General features: G+C 45.4%; 1 long non-coding RNA gene across 1 annotated transcript; it reads right to left on the bottom strand.

Moving 5' to 3' along the window:
• Positions 1-9,237: 9,237 nt before the first annotated feature.
• Positions 9,238-15,588, bottom strand: LOC124904924 (uncharacterized). The gene is made up of 2 exons (XR_007067634.1): positions 15,279-15,588; positions 9,238-11,010 (listed from the first exon to the last, which is right to left on the bottom strand). It is a non-coding gene; the product is annotated as an uncharacterized LOC124904924 (long non-coding RNA).
• Between the last annotated feature and the right edge of the window lie 7,845 nt (positions 15,589-23,433).

Below are 23,433 nucleotides of genomic sequence, written 5' to 3'. Positions count from 1 at the left end.
AGAAACACGTAGGTCTGGAGTAACACACGATGCCTCCTCCATCCAATTGTATAGAACGAGCCCCACACGCCACCCTCCCCAGTTTCACAAAACAAAGGGGAAGTGATATCCCTTTCTTCCTGGAAGGGAGAGAACACTTATAAACAATAAAAGCTTCTTTGAAATCCTCTTCCAACCAAATTACCATCTCTTGTATGAAAATTCCAGAGCCATCAATAGAGGATCAAAACTTTTTATCAAAAGAAATCAACAGTATTTGGTTTATTCTTTTTTCTCCTAAGTAGGGCAGTGCCAGGATGGGAGTGAATCTCTGGGCCAATCTGTGACCACAGAGGCAGGTCTGGGGTACCTTGGAGGAGGCTGTCCCTCGCCCAAGCATCTCTGCTACCATCTGGAGTGAGACCAAAGCCACTGAACCAGCTGACCTGGGAATCTCGGTCCTAACTCTTCCAGCCAAATGACTTGAGCAACCGCACCTTTCATTCACACAGATTATCTGTCTCCCCTATTAGTGTAACCACTTGACCAAGGCAGGCCTTCTCTTCACCTGCTCTGTTCTCTGCTGTATCCCTGGAGCCAAGAACATGCCCAAAGTAGGGGCTCAATAAATGTCTGCTAAATAAACGAACTCCCTGAGCCCCAGTTTCCTCATCTGTCCCAGGTAGATGCTGTTAATAAGAGTTGTCTTGAGAAGTACATTTTAAAAATATCTTTAAATGCTTTGCAAAATGTAAAGTCCTATGCACGGGGTGAGTTGGTGTTCCTCTCATTCCATACCGAGGGGTTGTGCAGACAGAATGACTGTGGCCAGAAAGCCAGCCTGCGTTTTCCCCGCTGGTTTCCTCCTGTGTTTTCCCGGCTGGTATGCTGATGGTCCAGAATCTTGCTTGGGAAACACAGGGTTTCCAAAGTCTTCAGCTTTCAGAGTCAATCTTTCATTTACGCTAAACCCAGCTCTTCCTCCTTGCTACTCGATCAGCAGACAGTTCGATATTTTCCTGGGTTTCAAATCCTGGGCATTTTCAGCCCTTTTTTCTCTCTGCTCTGCCAAACAAGTCACTCACCCCCACTATTCATGCTTCTCTCCCTGCTGGTCCCCATCAGGGTGGCACCAGTGACTGCCACTGTCCCAGTCCTCAGAGCCACCAGGCACCCCATCCACAGGGAGAGCTCCTTTGCCCTAACTTTTCCAGCAATAATCCCCAAATATCCTCTTAAACAGGGAGGAATAGATCACACGCACCCTCCAAACCAAACAAGATGGCCCGGGGATGAAATGCATAGACTGACCTAGACTTCATCTATGCACTATTTGAACAAATGTGTACCCAGCAGGTACCAAGCTGCAGGCAGTGTTTGTTCTAGGCGACGGCAAATCAGTGGCGGAAAAGACAGAAATCCCTGTGGGTCGTGAAGTGGATGCAATGGTTGGTTGTACATTTCCTATTGCCCCTGTAACAAATTACTCAAAGAGCAGCTAGAGTAACTTTCATTTGTCTCTTGCAGTTCTGCAGGTCAGAAGCTCAAAAGGGCTAAAATCAAGATGTTTCCAGGACTGTCCTCCTCTGCAGAGGCTGCAGGGGAGAATTCGTTTCTTTGCCTCTTCTGGCTTCTAGAGGATGCCAACATTTCCCGACTCCCGGCCCCTCCTCTGTCTTCAAGGACAGCAGTGGAAGGTTGAGCTCCGCCGTTGTGACATTGTCACCTTGCTTCCATCTTTACATCTCTGACTCAGAGTCCCCTGCCTCCCTCATTCACCTTTAAGGACCCCATGATGACATTGGACCCACCCGGATAATCCAGGGACATCTCCCCATTCCCAAGGTCAGTGGATTAGCAACTTTAATTCCTCCTTCTCACATAAGGTAACAGAGTCATAGGTTCTGGAAATTAGGACGTGACACCTTTGGGGGGCCATTATTCCACCAGCCACACTATAGCACACTCACCCTGTGAATCTGCAACACCTTCCTTACACTTACTTAAATCTTCACCCTGTGACTATTCCCATTTGGGACAAATGAGGCAGGCACGTGAGTATTTTCTCCCAAGTCACATAGTTGGGAGGTGGCAGAGCCTGCCCCAGAAGCTGCATGCTCAATTCTGCCCTGTGTTGCCTTTGGCTAAAACAAAATCAAACTTGCCTCCCATCATGCCAGCTGCTGGAATTCCACTGACTGTCCAAAACAAAGGAAGTGGAGCAGATCAGAGGAATGATCCATATTTGGAGATTGTTAAGGAGGGAAAACACCAATTTTGTTCTGTTCTGGTCTCACCCGTAGTACAAACATGGAAAGGTGCTTTCAACTCATCCATTTGTGTGCTTCCTCATGCAACAAATATTTGTGGAGCACTTACTATGTGCCAAGTACTGATGTGGGCACCATGTGACCTAACTCATAACTTTCACAGCAATTCCAGGGCATGGGTGCTCTGAGCTTGGTATCTCCCATTTTACAGATGTGGAAACTGAGTCACAGAGTGATGCACTCACTGGTTACTCACCTGGGTCCCCTTTGAATGGAAGCCACCTCACCTCTCACCCACGCTGTCACCACCGCACTCCACCCCAGGTCAAATGTCACCACCGCTGTGCAGACGCCCCTGACCTTCCTGGCAGAGTTCAGGACTCCCTCCGAGGACTCCCTTGGGCTCTTTCATTTTGCTCTTCGGGGCTCTGGTCAAATGGTGCTTAAAGTTTTATCTGCACATGTATCTCCCCTGTAGCCTGCTAGCTTCCTGAGAAGACAGACTAGCTTTATATTCCCAGGGATTGGCACAGGTTAGGGACTTCAGCAATGTTTGTGAATGAATAGGTGATTGAATGGATAGATTGTGGGACTTCAGTAATTCCTTGTTTGTTCTTTGTTTGTTTGTTTGTTTTAGACAGAATCTTGCTCTGTCACTCAGGCTGGAGTGCAGTGGTTTGATCTCGGCTCACTGCAATCTCCGCCTCCTGGGTTCAAGTGATTCTCCTGCCTCAGCTTCCCGAGTAGTTGTGATTACAGGCGTGCACCACCACACCAGCTAATTTTTGTATTTTTAGGAGAGAGGGGGTTTCACCATGTTAGCCAGGCTGGTCTCGAACTCCTGACCTCAAGTGATCTGCCCGCCTCGGCCTCCCAAAGTGTTGGGATTACAGTGTTGTGGGCCGCCGTGCCCGGCCTTCAGTAATTCCTATTAGTGCCTTAGGCGTTCCCTTGACCCTTGAGTATGTTTCTCTGTGCTGCTGAGAGAGAGAGGGTGATGCACACAGACACAGTGAGAGTGGGAGAGAATCACAGAGATGAAGACAGGCCGGGAGGCCCAAAGAAGACCCAAAAGAGAGGACAGGGAAAGGAAGGAGGACGGAGGAGAAGGAGCCTCCAATGCAGCTTAAGCCCCGAGGGTGGCGGTGTCAACAGCAAGGCACCTCTCCACCCCTCCCACCTCCCTCTAGGCACTGGGCCTCATGCCATTCATTGCACAGGCAAAGCAAACTCCTACCCCAGGGCCTTTGCACAAGCAGTTTCTTCTGCCTGAAATGTTCTTCCCCTAGGTCTTGACCTGGCTCTCTCCTTCTCACCATCTGTGTGTGTATTCGGGGGGTGAGGGGGAAGGGAGCTCAGAGAAACCTTCTCCAATGCCTTTCAGAAAGAACTCACCATAATTCTACCACAATCGCTGTTACTGTTTTTCTTTCAAAACCATTAGCCCCAGGTGGCAGTGTGCTATTTGTTAACTTGTTTATGTTGTCTACCCCATGGAGTGTGGCACCAGGCATGAGGGCTGGCAGGCTCTATTTAGGTTCTGCTTTAACCCCTGTGTCTAGTACATAGGAATTACTTAGTGAATATGTGTATTGGACATTGTGGATAAAGGAAGGAAAGAGGGAGGGAGGGAAGAATGAAAGAAAGAAGGAAGCTCCCAGCTGCTCTCCTTGCTAAACCCCACTGCAGAATGCTGTGTGCAGAGGCAAATAGAAATTGTTCAGGAAGCAGGCAGGAAAGCTGTGCCCTCTGCGCACTCTCTGTGTCGTAAGGGTCAAGGTCTGAATGCCGGCTCTTAGCAACTCTGGCCAAGAGGATGCTCTTCTAGAAGGAATGTGTCCTTCCTGAAGCAGCCAGGGGCCCGGGACAGGCTATTTGAGGCCTCCTCTATGCCTTATTATGGCAGAGACGGCTCAGAACTTTCCTCAAGCAACAAGAGAGAGCAGGGAAATACAGAACCAATGCAGACCTCCACGTGGGTGTCATCTCAGAGGAAGCAGCAAGGTCATCTGTCCCCTGCAAGGGAAGAAAGAAACCCTTTTCTTTGCTTTCATTTGTTCTGAGGCCTGGAACAGCAGCTGCACTTTTTTTCCTGGCAAGCTGGAGAATTAGGGCGGGCACAGATCTCCTTTAAAAGGGAAAATATTTCTCTCCATTCTCAGGAACCTCAGTCGAAAGGAAACACTCCTCACTCTGAGGCCTGTTTTGTGCCTTCCCCTGTCCATGCTGCAGGCCCCAGTCTCAGCCTCAGCACAGGTGACATTTAAGGGATGGCTCTGGAGCTGACCCCACTGCCTCTAGCATTAGGACCAGACCTCAGTTTTCTCTTTAGTAAAGAGAGCCTGATAATTTCTCCTCTCTGAAGACTGCTGTGGGGGTGGATGAACCCTTGCAGGCCATGAGGTGGCAGCTCCAGGGGACAGATGGCTGCCTGTGGGAATGATGCCCCGTGCAGCCAAATCTCCTCCTTCTTCTTTAAAGACAAATCAGAAATCTGAATGGTTTATCTGGAATCTCCCAACTGATTAAAAATAATGTCAATGACTTATGGTCTGCACTCAGTCAGTCTCCTTAATTATATAGAAGTGGAAAGAGCAATGAACTAGCAGTTAAAATGCTTTGTATTTGAGGCCCAGCTCTGCTACCTCCCAGTGGGGTAACTTGACCTTCCACCTTGCCAGGACTCAGTTTTCTCGTTGGTAACCTGGGGATACTAGCCACACAGTCAATGAACAATGGGTTGCTGCAACATTTAAATGAAATAATGTAAATGAAAAGACTTTGGGAAGTGCAGTTCATTCATTCACTTGCTCATTAACTCAAATAATAATCATTAGTGAACTATTTTGGAGCAAACACTGTTCTTGATCCCTGGGGTGTAGATAGACAGAGTAACATGGTCATTAAAGGTGAGGACGCTGAACTAGACTGCCTAGGACCAAAGTCAGGCTCTTTAACTCACTAACTTTGGGATAGGCAATAATAATACCTGACTGAAAGGGCTATTGTCAGGTTTAAAAGAGTTAATATATGTAAAGCATTCACAACATGCCTGGCACAGAGCAGCTGCTATAGAAGCTTTTGATCATAAAAGATCATTTTCTTTAACATCAACAGTGGAGAAGTTAAATTACACTTTAAGAAGACATAGCTGAATATCTTACCTTAAAAAATACTAGAAGGCTTAAAAGAATAGAGCAATGAACACTGGTGTAACCTTTTAGAAAGTTTTACAGCCACAATTCTTTAAATACAGAGTGAGGTTTTAATGATTAATCATTAACCATTGAGAACACACAGATATGTGGAATGTCTTAATTTATTAGTTGCTATGGTTTAGATATTTGTCCCCTCCAAACCTTATGTTGAAATTTGATCCTCAGTGTTGAACGTGGGGCCTAATGGGAGGTGCTTAGGTCATGGGGGTGGGTCCCTCATTAATAGATTAATTCCCTCCCTGGGGAGGACAGTAGGTTCTCCCTCTATTAGTTCCCCATATAGTTGGTTGCTAAAAGGGGTCTGACACTCCCCTCCGCCTTGCTTCCTCTCCCACTGTGGATCTCTGCACATGCCAGTTCTCCTTCACTTGCCCCCGTGAGTGGAAGCTGCCTGAGGCCCTCATTAGATACCCAGTCTTGAACTTTTCCAGACAGCAGAATTGGGAGCCACATAAATGTTTTATTTGTTGTTGTTGTTGTTAATAAATTGCCCAGCCTTAGGTATTCCTTTACAGCAACATAAAATGGAGTAAGACATTAGGGACAGAGGCTAAGGATTAATTCTACTGCCATTATAACACCTTAGGTTCCTTTTTATGAAGTGCCACTTTAATGACACAAATGACACATGAATACATTTCCCTTATTAAAAATAATGAAAACATTTGCATGAGGCTCAAGTCCTCTTTGAAATCTGGTGTTATTCTGCAGTAACATAAAAGGGAAAAGCCGTAATTTCAGTAGCTTCAAGAAACAAGGATTATTTATTGTTCAAATCCATATCCATCTCAGGACAGTGGGGATGTCTACTCCACAACACTTTCACTCATATGCCTGTGATGGCAGCTCCTCCGCTATCTAGGATGTGTCAGCAAGGTAAGAATGCAAAACATTTACAGTACTGGATGGTAATGGCATCTTCCCCAGGCAACATACACACTTCCCATCACATTCCATTGGCTAGAACAGATCACATGACCACCCCCAACTTCACAAGGTGAAAAAATGTCAATCTTACCATGCACCTGACTCCATCGCTTACCAGCCACATGATTTTGGGAAAGTCACTGAATTTCTTTGTGCCTCAGTTTCCTCATGTGTAAATCAAGAAGAGAAATGTGGCACTTATTTCAGAGGATTGATAAAAGAAGTAAATGACATTAAAAATGTAAAGGGCTTAGAAAGGTGCTCAATAATATTAGCTATGATGAGAAGGAGGAAGATGATAAATAAATCTTTGTGTATGTTTAAGAGTGATCCATAAATAAATCCATAAATAAATCTTTGTGTATGTTTAAGAGTGATCTCATACTGTGGTTCTGTCCTGTAATCTATACGTGGCTGAATCTTCAATACTAGTAGAAAGAATACTCTTTGCTGTATTCTATAATTTTAGGGCATATGTGTATATATACACACATACATATTCATATATATGCACATATTCAATGTACAGATGGTCTCCAACTTATGATAGTTTGACTTACAATTTTTCAACTTTATGATAGTATGAAAGTGATATGCATTGAGCAGAAACTGCATTTTGAGTAGCCGTACAACCATTCCGTTTTTCACTTCAATAAATTCAATAAATTACATGAAATATTCAACACTTTTTAACAAAATAGGCTTTGTGTTCGCTGATTTTGCCCAACTATAGGCAAATGTAAGTGTTCTCAGCACATGTAAGGTAGGCTAGGCTAAGCTACGATGTTTGGTAGGTTAGGTGTATTAAATACATTTTTAATTTAATGATATTTTCAACTTTATGATGGGTTAATCAGGATGTAACCTCATTGTAAATTGAAGAGCATCTGTAGTATAACGTAATACAATAAATATACATGCAAAGTACCTCTTTCCTTCTGTTTCCACGAAACCTGACTGACATACAGTTTTACTGCATTTAGCCTGAGTCCAGAGGCACAATTCACAGAGCAAACAATGGGTTCATGTTCGGTATTTCCTGATGTGGTCAAGGGAGCAGGGCTGTTCTTGGCAGGCAGTTCTCGCCCACGTGCTAGCTGGCCCTCGGCTGGCTGATGTCAGAGACAACACATGGGTCAGGGAGCTCAGATGCTTGAATGGTGACACAGCTGGAACCCCAGTTAGTACATGAGAGAGGAAAGCAGAATGAGTTGAGGTCAGTAGAGGGCACGTGGGACAGGTGTCGGAGCTGAAGTGTGGAGAAAGGGAGGGATGTGGGCAGAAGCCAAGTTCTGGTAGCAGAGGCTCTGAGAGCAGCCTGCATTTGTGGTGGTGGGGGCAGAGGTCGGGACTACTGCGATCCAGGCACCCAAAGGTCAGTAGAGTCAAAGGGCTCAAGGACTTCGGGTTGACTCTGGATGATGACATGCCCGGATGGGCGTGAGTGGACAGGTGCCTTGTACCTGCGGAGTGATATGGTTTGGATGTTTGTCCCCTTCAAATCTCATGTTGAAATGTGACCTCCAATGTTGGAGGTGGGGCCAGGTGGGAGGTGACTGGATCATGGGGGTGGATATCTTGCCAAGGGCTGAGCGCCATCCCCTTGGTAATGAGCGAGTTCTTGCTCTGAGAATGGATTGTTTACAAGAATATGGCACGTCCCCCGCACCTTGCTCCTTCTCTCACCATGTAATGCCCCGGCTCCCTTTCACCTTCCCCTATGATTGGAAGCTTCCTGAGGCCTCGTGAGAGGCAGATGCTGGCAACACACTTTCTGTACGGCCTGCAGCGCCACGAGTGAATTAAGCTTCTTTTCCTTAAAAATTACCCAGCCTCAGGTATTTATTTACAGCAATGCAAAAACGGACTAACACACCCAGCATTCACCCCCATGCTTCTGAAGCCACACTCTTGAGCTTGCTCTAGAAAACACAGCTTTGCTGGTCTCCGGTCTGTGCCAGGGTGATCATGTGACTCAGGCTTGGCCAATGAGGTTTCACATGACTCTGCCCACAATGATTGGTTCAGGAATGGCACGTGACCGAGTCAGAGCCAATCAGACCTCATCCTGGACCTCTGCTGGGGGACAGGGTGGGAGGTGTAAAACTGAGGCTTCTGAGCCACCAGGGGATGGCATCTGTCTCAGTGCAATTTCAATCCAGCAAAGTCACTCTGAGACAGATAGAAATGTGATAACAAGGTTTTACCCTCTGGAATTGGATGTGCCCAAGGCCAGCTCTATCACTGGCTTTTCCTTGGCAGGAGGCCATAGATTCTTTTCCTTATCTGAAGCCAGGTGGACTTGGGTTTCTGGCCACCTACAACCAAGTGTATCCTGGTAGCTAGAATGTGCCTCTTTGAAGACTGATGTTCATTGTCTTAGAGTGGAAAAGTAGACTGGCCACCCTGCAAATACTCTTGCAGACTTTCCTGGTCCATCTAGAAAAAATTCTTTTAGCTTCTCAAAAATTGCAGTTTACTTCCGTGCTCCCGAAGAAACCCAGTGTTAATTCATCCTTGAAGGGTACATGTCTTTGGAAGAGCTTTCCATGGCCTCTAATGTCAATTTTCCTTTTGATAATTTGTCTCTGCAGTATTAATGTCCAATGCAGTTTCATCCCCATCCAGCCCACCCTAAAATCGCCATAGTAGCCAATCATTGATTGATTTGCTTTCTTTTTAAAATAAGTCCTAGTTGAACCCCTAAAGTGTGTTTACTTTGAATGCATTACAATTGTACTTATCAAATTAGAACTGTATTACTCCCCCTTAAGTTACCTTGAAAACAAAATCAATAGTTTATTTAACCAGAATCAAGAAAAGAAAAAAAATACCCCGAGGAATCTGTGTAATAAGTTTTACTTGGAAAGAAACAATGTGGATAAACATGGAGAAAGCATTTCAGTGTAAAGCAGGGTGTATGGGTAGCTTGGAGGAATAAACAGGCACCAAATTTAATACTGTTCATTTCTGTGCACCTTCTTATAAATAGCAGGCCTTTGTCAAGCATGGGTTGCTTTCTGAGCAAGCAGTAGAAATAAACAATCGTATGACATTTTTAATAGTGACAGCAATTGGATTTAATGCAGGTATTTATACTATACTATTCTTTAAGTAAATATTTGAGACCCTTACAAAATTGGGCTGCTCATCAGTGCCTCCAACTTGGACTATAGGGACAAAATGTGCTCTAATTCAGATACCACCAGTTAGGCTCCCTGTGTGTGTTTTAAATTTGCAATTCCTCCGGTTTTTCTGTCCCCAGGTCGTAGCTCCTCAGTACTGAGCAGAAATGACAATTCCCCATGGAGTGACAGATGTGGCCCAATATCCTCTATGACCTGAGACTTCCCATCAGTTAATCTCCAGCTGGCACTTGGAAAATATCTGATTGTAATCAGGAGGTGCATTCTTCAAGGACTGATGAGCGTCTCCTGGGGGATGGATGGTTGGATGAAATCTGAACGCAAGAGGAAATCAGAGAGTTGGCTCTTTTGCCAGCTTCTAAATCTATCTTTTCCAGGTCTCCACATGCTGGTCCTAGAGGTCATAGAATTCTAGAGTTAGAAGAGACTGAGATTCTGGCACTTTGGAGGCCAAGGCGGGATCTCTTGATCCCAGGAGTTTGAGACCAGCCTGGGCAACATGGCAAGACCTCATCTCTACAAAAAATTTTAAATAATTTAAAAGTTAGTTGAGTGTGGCAGCACACATCTGTGGTCTCTAGGGTGGGTTCCATGGTGTCGTTCCGACATTATTCCCAGCTGCACAGACTTCAAGAATCCTGATTTGCTGTCTCTTCTGGAGAGTCTGTGACCTCCCCAGTGCCATTTCCTAAATTCCTTTTCTGCTTAAATAGCTAGAGTGGACCCTCTCGACAGAGGACCCTGAGACAGGTGCTCATCTCTTCCTCGTCTAAACAGGTGGTGGGCACTGCGTAGCCACCACTTAGGTGACTGACACAGAAGAGCCTTTCCTTATCACTTCCCTGCAGCAACTGACAGACTGAGCAGAAAACAGTCATTTTTGCTTGACAATAAGAGAATTTGATTATAAATCAATGAAGAACCCATCTGTGACCATGTTCTCACCAATTCTAAATGTTACAAGTTGGAAGAGAACAAGTCTCTGTATAATACTTGATATTGATATTAGTAACTACCAAGATAGGATTTTCCTGAGGGATAGGGAGGAGGGCTGCTCACAGAGAGACTCTGTGCTCTGGTCCCTGAAACCCATGGGAAGTGAGACCAGAGGGCTAGGGGTAGAGGACAATGTCAGGGTAAAGTGAACAGAATGCATTGGCTGCTCTGGTGGACCCTACTGATTGTCCCTGAAAATCTCTTGGCTGGTCACTGTGGCTCACACCTGTAATCCCAGCCCTTTGGGAGGCCAAGGCGGAAAGGTTGCTTGAGCCCAGGAGTTCGAGACCAGCCTGGGCAAATGGTGAGATGCTGTCTCTCCAAAAATTAAATTAGGCAGACGTGGTAGCGCACACCTGCAGTCCCAGCTATTCAGGAGGCTGAGGCAGGAGGATTGCTTGAGCCTGGAAGGTAGAGGCTGTAGTGAGTCATCTTCATACCACTGCACTCCAGCCTGGGTGACAGAGTAAGACCCTGTCTCAAAAAAAAAAAAAAAAATCCATTATCTCTTCATCTCTTTTGTCTATAGTCATAGAATCCTAGACCTTTATCTAGCCACTGAGAACACATTTTAGCTGACTTTGTAGGTATTTGTGACCAGATTACCAACTTCTAGTTAGTGGAATATAAACCTAGGTGCTGTGTTCAAATTCTAAGTATTTTAAAGAGACAGAGCATCCCCTCCCTCCATCTGCTGGCTGGCCCATGGACTTGGGTGACAGATCTGGAGCAGACACCTTGAACTATGAGTGAGAAGCCTCATGCAGGGCATTGCAGGGCATTGCAGAGCAAGCTAGAAGGGGCCTGATCCTCGACATCACAGGAGCCACTGTACCAGCCCTGGACTGTCCACATTTATAGAACATAGAAATATATTTTTATCCTGTTTAAGATATTAATATAATACTGTCATTTTTTCCTATTTGGAAACTCACAGCAGAATGTAATCTCAATGAACACAGAGACCATTTTGCTCAGCACTGAGCTAGAATCTTTGAGCAGAGGAAGAGAGACTTGAGGTTAATGTGTAGCTGCACTGAAAAGTCTGATTAGAAAGACGTCTCCACGTGGGTGCTGATTGGCCAGAGCTCCATGGGCTGGAGACTGAGTGATGTGGAAAAGGGTTCTGAGTGGGGGCAGACACTCAGGGACTGGCCGGGGTAGACTGGGCTTGGGAGCTGGGCCCTGAAGTTGGAGAATGAGGGAAAGAAAAGCAAAGAGAAAAAGGCTCATCTTCCAAGGCTCTGAAAGGCGTGTTGCCTTCCTTCCCAAGACAGAAGGAAAGAATTTAACAGCATTAAAGCAGGCTTCCACAAGGAAATAAGTACGGATGAGGACTCTCCAACATTAAGATGTATCGACAAAGCTATCTTGCAAAGTGCCCAGCACACAGTCTGTGCTCAACGATTATTTGCCTTATTGTTATCAGAAAGGGGTTCCAATCCAGACCCCAAGAGAGGGTTCTTGGATCTCGCACAAGAAAGAATTTGGGGTGAGTCCACAGAGTAGAGTGAAAGCAAGTTTATTAAGGAAGTAAAGGAATGAAAGAGTGGCTGTACCAGAGACAGAGCAGGACATTCCTGAAAGAGGTGGAATGCCCCCACCTTAGGTGCAAGGCTTGATTAGATATAAGATAACAAACATCATGGGGAAGATATGCTCCACTACAGGGGTTTGTGATAAAGGATTGCTAATCGTTGTGTAACTACTGTCCTTCCCAAGAGTCTATATTACTATTTTTAAAGCAAGACTTATTCTTAAAGTAGGACTGCTTTTGTTCTTAAGATATCAGGATGTCAAAACATTTCCTGCATCTGTTAAGTTCTGGGTCTGTTTCTGTTCCCTTAACAGTAAACATCCTGTGACTAAGAATGCCTGGCCTCCTGGGAATACAGCCCAGCAGGTCTCAGCCTCATTTTACCCAGCCCCTATTCAAGATGGAGTTGCTATTCAAGATGGAGTCGCTCTGGTTCACACACCTGTGGCCACAAAAGAAAGATTGGATGACTATATAAGTGATCAACCAACCAAACAAAAGAGAGGCAAGTAATACGGTGCGGTGACTAAAGGATGGTGCTGGAATTGGAGGACTGAGGATTACTGTTGAAATTCTAGCTCTACCATTCAGCAGCTGGTGAGTGATCTGGGCAAGGCAACCAGTTTCCTCATCTATAAGTTGGTGATGATAACCATCATGATAGAGATTCTCTCTTTAAGGATTAGGTTGAGTGAGATACCAATGTAGACATCAATATATACTGCTTATCCCAGTCCCTGGAAAGTAATAGTATTCAATAAGTATTGAATCACAACAATGTTATTATTGTTTTTGTTGTTGTTGTTGTTGTTGAAAATGAGAGCCTCTTAGGGCTTTGTGAATTTCCTCTTTCTAAAGGTCCAGGCAGCTTCCTCCCGACATATTCAAATCCACCTCTGTGCCTGCCCAGCCCTGGATCTCCAGTTGGCTCTAGGAGGCCTATTCTGACCACCCAGCAATTTTCTCTTCGAACGGCACATTACTACCTTGTCATCAGGCACTCGATGAGGGCTGTCGAGGACACCTTCTAGAATCTTATCTTATTTCATCCCTTGACGTCCCAGCCACATGAACAGCAAGTGAAGCCCATGTAAATATCTGCCCCTACTAGGTTTTCCACACTCATCCCTTCCATTTTCTCCTCCATTTAAAAATCCATGTACCTTCTCACATTTTTAACACCTTATTTTTTAATCATAAGTTTAAATCATTGTATCAGAAATACTGAATATTTATATTCTAAAAGAAGACTATTACATCAATTTTAACGTGTGTCTAGTGGAAACTCAATACCATAATGATTGATACCCACCACGATTGATTTTAAAAATGCATGAAAACTCAGCTCTAATTGTTGGAAATTTTGCCTTTTTCTCCTAGAACTTCTACTCCTCTAGCCAACTTTGATGGGAGTGTATCTTACTTTTATGCTTGGAAGTCTTGTATTGATCATACTGCAACAAAAACATGTATAAATTAAAAACGGATAATATCCAGAGTTCTGTTCCTGTAAAGCTTTAAATGTTAAACATGTGATTCTGAATTTAGTTATCATTAACGATAGTGAGTAGTGCACCATTGATCAGAGAAACATAACAGCCGTGGGGCTGTTTTCTCAATTAATTCATGTATTCGTGGATGACTGTTGCTTACTATCATAAGGAGACAGGTTTCGGCCTCAACATTATCCCCCTTTTGAAAAAATTTTGATTTTGTTGCTGTAAGCAGGGTGAATCTTGTTCACGTAAATAAACAGATGGAGATTAAAGAGCTTCTGTTACATGTTATGCAATTGTTTGAATGCCTTCCATCAAAATGAGCTCCCTTGCTTTCTGGCTTGTGGTTGTGTCAGAGGCGTGTGAACCAGAGCAACTCCATCTTGAGTAGGGGCTGGGTAAAATAAGGCTAAGACCTACTGGGCTGCATTCCCAGACAATTAGGCATTCTAAGTCACAAGATGAGAGAGGAAGTTGGCCTGTATCTACAAGTCTATAAAGACCTTGCTGATAAAACAGGTTGCAGTAAAGAAGGCTGCCAAAACCCACCAAAACCAAGATGGCCATGAGAGTGACCTCTGGTCATCCTCACTGCTACACTCCCATCAGCACAAGGATGGTTTACAAATGCCATGGCAATGTCAGGAGGTTACCCTGTATGGTCTAAAAAGGGGAGGCATGAATAATCCACCCCTTGTTTAGCATATCACCAAGAAATAACCCTAAAAATGGGCAGCCAGCCACCCTCAGGTTTGCTCTATGAAGTAGCCGTTCTTTTATTCCTTTACTTTCCTAATAAACTTGCTTTCACTTCACTGTATGGACTCACCCTGAATTCTTTCTTGTGCAAGATCCAAGAACCCTCTCTTGGGGTCTGGACCGGGACCCCTTTCCTGTAACAGTTGGGTTTTGCCATGGGATAGCGAGAACAGGCAGAGATGGTAGACTGAGAGATGAGTGAGGTAGGGGTTCTTTATCCCTACTGTGGGGGAGCCCAGGCTGCCTGCCTCCACTGCAGAAGGTCACAGCTCCTGTCTGACAGCCCCCGCCTAGAGTCTCCTTTTGTCTGCAGATTCCAGAAGGCTCTTTCCCCTCACCCTCCCCAGGGCCCCACTGTTACTAGCCAGGGCCTGGCACTATTGTTTGCTATTTCCCTTCATCCGGATCACAAGTTTTAAATAATACCTTTATGAAACTTTCCTCCAATTAGCCAATGTAAGTACGCTATCTGTCTCCTGCCAGAACATTGACTGATCAATCTTTGTTTTATAAAGTGGGAGAAGAGTGTTACCAAAAGAGGATGTGGAAATGAAGAGCCCACAGAGTACCCATGTCAGTTGAGAATCTGAAAAGTGATTCTCTCAAAATGGCCTGTTGCCTGTGAACCCTTAGAAAGTCATTGTGTACCCCCAGGGTCTGAGTACTGCAATTTGATTTGATCGATCTAATACCTGACCATCCACCCTTCTGTCCTCCACCCCACGATTGCAAGAACAATATTGGGAATCTAAAACTTACTGAAAACAGCCAGTGAGTGTTTTGCCATCGAGGCTAAAGGATGCTGGAGGATCCCATATAGATAGCTATGGTGAGGGTCCTCATTGCCCTCATGGCTGAGGAAGCAGATTCCCTCCTGGAGCTGATGTCTGGGAGAGGACTGACCAGAAGAGGCTAGGACCCAGGGTTGCCTGCTTAAGTCTAGCACTTACCACCACTGAAGCGCAGCCTCTTGTTTCCTTATCCACCAGGTTTTCTGTGGCACTGAGTTAGAAATTCCAGGCAACCCACTGAGAGTTCTTTATTGCAGCAGCGGGCAACTGATCCACAATAACATGTAAAAAGATAGGGGTTCCCAGGCGGCGACAGCAGCTGCAGCTTTAAGTGGAAATTGGAGTGAAAATGTGCTGCCTCCATTTGCTGGCAGGAGGGGAGGGGTGGGTAGTGGGAAAGGGGGATGGGAGAGTGAGTGAGCTCTTGCTTCCCAGCACTGAATTGGGCTAGAAACCCCCAGGCTCCTTTGCTCACTATGTCATCACATTGAGACTGGAGGCTTCTGGCAGTGGCTGTGGGTGTGTTTGCATTAACTGCCAGCAGCAGAGCCTTTCCTTCAGAGTAATTCAGATACAAGAATTTCTCTCTCTCTCTCTCTTTCTCTCTCTAATAATCTCAGCCATCCCTGTTCAGACAGCCTCTTAGATCACAAACAATCCTGCATTAAACTTTGGTTTCTTGAATCACTGTTCGTGGTCATAAGTTTAGTGATAGTTTGAGTTATTGTTCAGCAGATAATGGGCCTTCCTGGTCCATTGATGTGGGTTTGGCTGTGTGACTTGCTTTGACCAAGGATGGTCAGAGTGTCAGAGGAAGTGACGAGACTAAAGTCATTAAATGTGCTCATGAAGCTTGCTTGCTCTTGTCCCCAGGGATCCACCATGAGGAGTGTGTCCAGAGAGGAGCTGCTCTCCCTTTAGACTATGCCCAAGATAAACACATATGGAGCAGACCTGATCCCAACCCACAGCCTGCAGCCATGCCCAGCAGAGCCCAGCCTGGATCCGCCAAGTCGTGCTTGACCTATGGACCTGAATGTAGGAATAAGTACTTATTGTTAATATACATGAATGTAAGAATTACTACCACTGAGTTGGGTTTGTGACAACTGACAAATTACTGAGCTTTCAAATTGTGCTTCACAGATACCAAGGGCAGTAGTTAAAAAAAAAAATCCTCTTCTCAAACCCAGAGTGCATTCATTCATTTATTAATTAATTAATTCTCTTAGTTATTCAACACAGTTTTTGAGCCCTCAGATGTTAGGCATTGTTGTAGGTGCTGGGGATATGGAATTTAATGAGGCAGCCATTCATGGTTCCTGCCTTCATGGTATGACCATTTTGGTAGAGGAGACCATAAACAGACCAGTAAATAGATAAATAAACAAACAAATGCATAGGTTCAACATATGCTGTTATTGAAATGAGACAAAAGGTGAGCTGAAGTGGGAATAGGAGTGGCCACTTCAAACTGGGGGTCAAGGAAGGCTTCTCTGAGGAGGGGACATTTAAGCTGACACTGTAGAAAGAGACAGCCAAAGAATTTGCTCCAAGAGAGCGTTTCAGGAAGTGGGTATAATCAGGGAAAAGACCTTGAAGCAGGGAAGTATCTGGTTCAGTCAAGGAAGAGAAAGGAGGCAACCAGGCTAGGACACAGAAGAGGAGGAGAGGGGTCTTCTGGTGTGCCTGAGTGCTCCTATAGAGGTACAGGGCCTCATGGGAGGAAGGGTCTGAAGTTAACAAAATAAGCAAAGGAACATAGGTGAAAGGTTTAAGCCAGGGAGTGATTACCCTTCAGATCACTCAGCTGTGATCTGATCTTTAAAAATATACACTCAGAAATAGTGACCCAATATGACTGTGATTCTGAACTGCAAAGCAAGGAGACACACCCTCTTGAGGGTGGTTTTCTGTTATAAATCTCTGTCTCAGGGGTCCTAAGCAGTGTCCAGCAACGGGGACAGAAGAATGAGGGCCCACTCAGAGAGGTTCTGCTTCAGTTGCTTTATACCTGGGCCCTTGCTAAAGTTTTATTTGAAGAGAGAGTGCTGTGTTAAATAAATGAATATGATAAAATAAAGGAAAATAGAAATAACAACAACAACATGTGAATTTGTATCTAGACCAAGCCAAGCCAAGACTCAGATCTGGGAAACAGGTTCAGAAAGGTGGGGGCCTGGTTCAGAGTCACCCAGCACATTAATGCCCAGCTTCTTCTCACATTTACACAACAGTAACCATTTACAGTGACTTCACAGTCAGTGTCCTGGTAGGGTAGTTAATACACTGTCCCTGAATGAACAGTATCTCCCTGCAGAGCTGGAAGCTGTGGTATGTAGATGCAGCACTGCATCTCCTATTTATCCACACTAGAGAAGCAGCAAGCAGAGGTGGGAGAGGATCAGACAGGGATAGAAATCTGACATTTTGTGGGATGCAGTGGCTCATGCCTGTAAGCCCAGCACTTTGGGAGGCTGAGGCAGGTGGATCACCTGAGATTGGGAGCTCGACACCGGCCTGGCCAACATGGTGAAACCCCATCTCTTACGAAAAATACAAAAATTAACCAGGTGTGGTGATGCACACCTGTAATCCCAGCTACTTGGGAAGCCGAGGCAGGAGAATTGCTTGAATCTAGGAGGCGGAGATTGCAGTGAGCCAAGATTGCGCCACTGCACTCCAGCATGGGCAACAGAGTATGGCTCCATCTCAAAAAAAAAAAAAAAGAAAAAAGAAATCTGACATTTTTTCCTCCCTCTGTATCTAAGGGTTATCCTTGTTTATTTGTTATTTTTGTTTTGTTTTAGGCTTTTGACCACCTGAAACTGCTTTTTAATTTTTTTTTATTTTTTATTTTTGTCTCTGGCTGATAAGAGAAAAGGGGGTGAGGGAAGTGACACAGGACCTCTAGCAGCAGCCACTCCCCTGCAACTGATTATGTACCCACCCTAATCAGTCTCTTTTCTACCCCTGGCTTTTTTTTTTTTCTCTTAAATCTTTTTAGAATGGCTTGTATCTCTAAGTGGTTAAAATCCTTCCCTCTCCCACTTTTCCCCCCTTTTATGTCTCCTGTCTTTCCCCAGACATTTTTTTTCCTTTGGGTGTTTACCTGATAAGTTCCTGGTAGTCCTGAGTGACCTCTGCTGTGAGCAGCAGCCTCCCTCTCTAGGGTGTCCCAATCAACCTCAGAAGGTCTGGGGTCCACATTCAAGAGAACAATGATGTCACATCCTGATTTTGTGACAATTTACTCTTAAGAAGGAGGCTGTTCGCATGTTGATTAGGTAGCAGCACTCAGGAGTGCCCGGACACATTGGTCAGGAGATTTACAATCTTGCATGAGCTGAGGAACGTCCTCAGATGTCTTAAGGGGAGTGGAACAACATGCTCCTTCTTTCCTTTTTCCATTAAATATTTAGCCACTTGTCTCCATGGATGGGATCTTTTATATCCTGCTAAGTTAGGAGACGAATTGCAACAGCAGCAAGGCAAGCAACAACAGAGATTTGTCCTTGAAAATTTTTGGATGCCAATGGCTTCCATGAGAGGAGTACTTGGTGTTGCATCCCTATGGTTTACCAGAGGATACTGCACCTAGAATTTTGCCAGGAATGCTCTCTCAAAGGGCAGGTTAGTGCAATAATTCACTTACCCAGAGAAAAGAACTCAAGTCAGGCTGAATGAGCCTTACACTGACTTTGGCATTGATGGGCATGTGGATCAGATTCAATACAGTCCTTCTGGAAGAATCCTCTCCCTGTTCCCTTGAGAGGAGCCTTGTATGCTGGTCAATCAATGCACTCCCTCCTTCCTGGGTGCCTGGGTATCAAACAGACCCAGTGGATCTTGTTGCATATCCAAGATGATGGTTTTAGCCTTCCTAAAAACTAAACTATACAAAGTGAGGTGTACCATGGAGGCATGTGCCTTTGAGGTCCTCTTACAATTTAGGGTGGAACATCATGGCAGCACATGGTAGACATAGCATAGAGTGGAGGCGCTAAAGTGCAGGTATGTCCACAGCCAGGGGTGCTCATTGTTGGCGAAGCCAGTTAGTAAGCCAAGAGCAGCCCAGGGGCATGCAGCTCTATCAAATGTTGAGTCACCTGTGATGCCAACTGTCCCAGTTGTATCCAATGGATTTCAATTTATGGAAGTGACTGAGTGACAGCAGGGAGAAGCAGGTGCCATCAAAAGAATATTTTACTTGCGTTTCCCAAGAGAAAGGGGCACACCAGCCCACCTAGGAGTCAGTGGAAGGAGCCACAGAAAAGTCTGGGCAGGAACCTTTATTGTGTTTCTCAAGGGGAAAGCAGGGTAGGGCAGGGTAGGGCAGGGGAAACAGCTTGAGATTGGCTGATGTGAATAATGTTGCAGGCTCTGGGCTACAGGAGAGGTCTTAGTTGTCTTGTCCCTGGTCCCGGGTGATGTGAGGCAGGCGAAATACTGGCTTGGTGTGTGGGAGTTAGATAAGGAAGAAGTTGGGGGGTTGTGCTCTGGCTTGGTTGGAGAGTTTGTAATATGATTTTCAAACACCCTCCAAAGCTGATTGCAGGGGAGACATAAACAACTTTGGGCATTAGTTTGGCCCTGTGATTAATGGATGCCAAAAGACAAACACAGAATCTAAGAAAACACAGTGCCCGCTGGGTGTCAAGCAGAGATGTGACGCTGATATACTATGCGATGCTCATCCAACATCAGATGTGATACTGATATACCCTGATCTGTGTCCCCACCCAAATCTCATGTTGAAATGAAATCCCCAGTGCTGGAGGTGGGATCTAGTGGGAGGTGATTGGATCATAGGGGTGGATTCTAATGGTTTACATCAACCCCCTAGTGCTGTTCTCGTGAAAGAGTTCTCATGAGATCTGGTTGTTTAAAAGTGTGTAGCACCTTCCCACACACTCTTCCTTCTCCTCCAGCCAAGTAATATGTGTCTGCTTCCCCTTCACCTTCCCCCATGATTGTAAGTTTCCTGAGGCCTCCCAGCCATGCTTCCTGTTCAGCTGCAGAACCATGAGCCAATTAAACCTCTTTTCCTTATAAATTACCCAGGCTCTGGTATTTCTTTATAGCAGTGCAAGAATGGACTAATAGAGATGCCCATCTGTGTGCTGAGATGTGCTCACAGTTCTAACAGGCCTCCCTCCTTGCAAATGCCCTCCCTGCCCCCAGCTCTAGGACCATGACATGCAGACAGCCTTTATCCAGGGGGCAGGACCTGGGAGCTAAAGAAAGGCACCACCCTGGCCAGGAGGGCCATCTCCCAGGGAACTGGGATGCTAGGACCACATGCCACGTTGCCTACAGGAGTTAAGTAAATATGAAAGTTTTGGGAGTGGTGTTTAGAATTTTAGAAAATTATGCATGCTACTTCTACTTCTCCAGAAATGTATTCTAGAAACTTTGCTAGAGATAGAGCAAATCAGAAAGCATCCTGAGAGTTCCAGATATGTCCACCTTGCCTTTTATTTCTTTACTGCCTGTATCGCTTTCCTAGGGCTGTTCCAACAAATCACCACAAAGTTGGTGGCTTAAAACAACATACACTTATGTGCTCACAGTTCTGGAGGCCATAAGTCCCAAATCAAGATGTTAGCCGGGTTATGGTCTGTCGGAAGGCTCTAGAGGAGAATCCTTCTCTATTTTTTTCCAGCTTCTGGTGGCTTCAGGCATCTCTTGGCTATGGCCAAATCATTCCAATCTCTGCATCCCTCTTCATGTGGCCTTCCCTTCTGTCTGTGTGTGTCTTCTCTTCTTCCTTATATAGTCACTTGCCATTGAATTTAGGACCTACCTGAGTAACCCAGGATAATCTCATCTCAAAATCCTTAACTTAAACACATCTGCAAAGATCTTCTTTCAAATAGGGTGACCTTCACACCTTCCAGGGATGTGGACTGAGATACATCTTTCTAGGGGCCATAGTTCAAGCCATGACATTGTCATTAGGGTGACAAGTTTGTCCTCGTGTACCCAGAACTTTCTCAGTTTTAGCACCAAAGTCCTGCATCCACGGACTCCTTTCAGTGTCAGGAAAACTGGGATGGCTGATCACCCTAGTAACACATATTTGTAGCATATGGGTGGGCTAAGGTTCCAGAAGAAACTTACAGAACATTGCAGTTCATTTAAACAAGGCTTAGTGGGGCAAGACAGACTGACTTCTTTACATCAAATCACACTCTAAAGTAAACTGAAATAACAATTTGGTCAGATTCTCTTTGAAAGCTCTGATTTGGTTCATGGTCAGTCAATTAAGAAAGGGTATATACTTTATTCTAGTTTAAAATGTGTCTTTCTTTCTCATTTTTTTCTTCCCTCTTATTTTTCTTCTTCACTTCCTTCTTTTCCTTCATTTCTTTCACCTTCTTCTCCACCTTTTCCCTCTCCCCAATTCTTTTATTCCTCCGGGGCCATCGGGAAAACTTTGGATTTGAGTTTCCAGCTCAGTAAAGAAATAAATGGTGTGTGAGCCATGCCTGGGTTGGGCGAGGCCATCCCCCGCAGACCCCATGCTCTGGAATGTGCCTGCCCTTGAGTTTGGTGCCCATTTCCCCTGCATGGCTTAGGGTTGGATTTTCACATGTGCAGAGAGGTTCATACATCTCCATCCATCTGAGTCGTCACTCGGTCTTCATGTGAGCAACGAGGTTATGGATGGGCACATCCTTAGAGTACTTTGCTGGAAAGGAAGGAAATAAATCCAGCCTGTTTCCCAGCCCATTTCTCTTGCTCTGCTGACTACATGAGCCTCTGAGATCAGGCTGGGAGTGCAGTGAATGGAAAGGAGTCCTACTACCGCCTAAACAGGCTCCTGGCTCTCTCCCTGCAGTAAAGCAGAGGCTGTCAAATTTAATGGGAGAAAGAAAGAAGGAAGAAGGAGATATTCATCAGCTCCCCTGGCAGGGCAGGTGTTTTCTTCTCTTGCCTGGGTTTATTTTCTCAGCCACTTGGTGGTTTTGAAATAAAGAAACTGAAGCTCAGAGGGGGCAATAATTCACCTAAGGTCACACAGCTGGCACAGGGCAGGAACAAGATTCACACACAGGTATTCTCTTCTGTTCATTTATCCATTCAAAATGTCTTGAGCTTCTTTCAAGGGACAGACACTGGAGACACAGTAATGAACAAAACTGCAAAGTAGGCTGTGTTGAGAAAGACTGGCAAGGAACAATACACACTCCATCAGTGGTGATCAGGTCTGTAAGGAAAAGAAAAACACAGTAAAGTGGATCTTTGGGAGAGGATCCTTTTTGTAAAGTTGTCTGGGAAGTGATGCTCAAGTATAGACCTGAAGGAAATCAAGGAGTGAGCTGAGCATCGAGATGAGGAAAGAGCTCCAGGCCTAGGGCACAGCCAGGGCAAAGGCCCTGAGGCAGGACTATGTCTCCCATGTTGGGGGAAATAGCAAGTGACCACGTGTGTACTTCCTGGAGTCCTTCATTCAGGGGTACAGTAAGAGAGCAAAGGGGTGGGGCGAGCAGTCTTCCCAGGTGCAAGCAGTAAGGGGGTGCATTATCTATAGAAAGTTTAAAGCCCATAATAAAACTGGCTACAATTCAGTGGTAAAACACTCCTCCCCACCAGAGTGGATGGCCCCTACCCACCATGGACCCTGGGAATGTATTGCCCACGTTAGACCAGAAAACTCTGGAGGGCTGAGCCTGTGTTTGTCCTACCCCTTGCAGCATCCCCAGGACTTAACATCTCAGTCTGGAATCCAGCTTTTGTTGATGAAATAAACAAACAAATTGGAAAAATCCCAGTGTCTTCTGGGAGCTGCCAGTGCCTGGCCAAATGCAAATGAAGACCTTGATAGAGAAGGACAGCTTGACAATAAAACGCCACACACACAGTGGCGGGGCCTGGACAGGGCCACACGCTGGGGCTCCGCAGAACAGACCTCATGTGTCATGGGACCAAGGTCCTGGACCGTCCAGCCCTGTGCCATGGCTCACCCACAACAGGCTTTCCAGAGTGCATCAATGGGATTGCCTCCCCACTCCTCTGTGTTGAAGTCACGGAATGAAACCGTGCCCCAAAGAGTTAAAGAAACCAATAACTAACACAAATTCTTGAGTTTACAGGATGGCAGAAACTCCCCGTGCTTGCGAGATTAAATTGGCTGAAATCGGTTGGAACCGATATGGCCACCTGGAGTTTGCACAGAATGAGCTTGCTGATGTCACAGCATGAATTTCCACCGCACGTTTCACGCTAACTCTCCTCGAATTTGTATATGGAACCCATGAGGCGGCATGAAGGGGTAACTGCGCATGCCCACAGACTTCCAGCCCTCTCC

This window comes from Homo sapiens, chromosome 20, assembly GCF_000001405.40.
Source record: "Homo sapiens chromosome 20, GRCh38.p14 Primary Assembly".
Classification (NCBI taxonomy): domain Eukaryota; kingdom Metazoa; phylum Chordata; class Mammalia; order Primates; family Hominidae; genus Homo; species Homo sapiens.
This window is presented reverse-complemented; position numbering and strand designations above follow the sequence as displayed.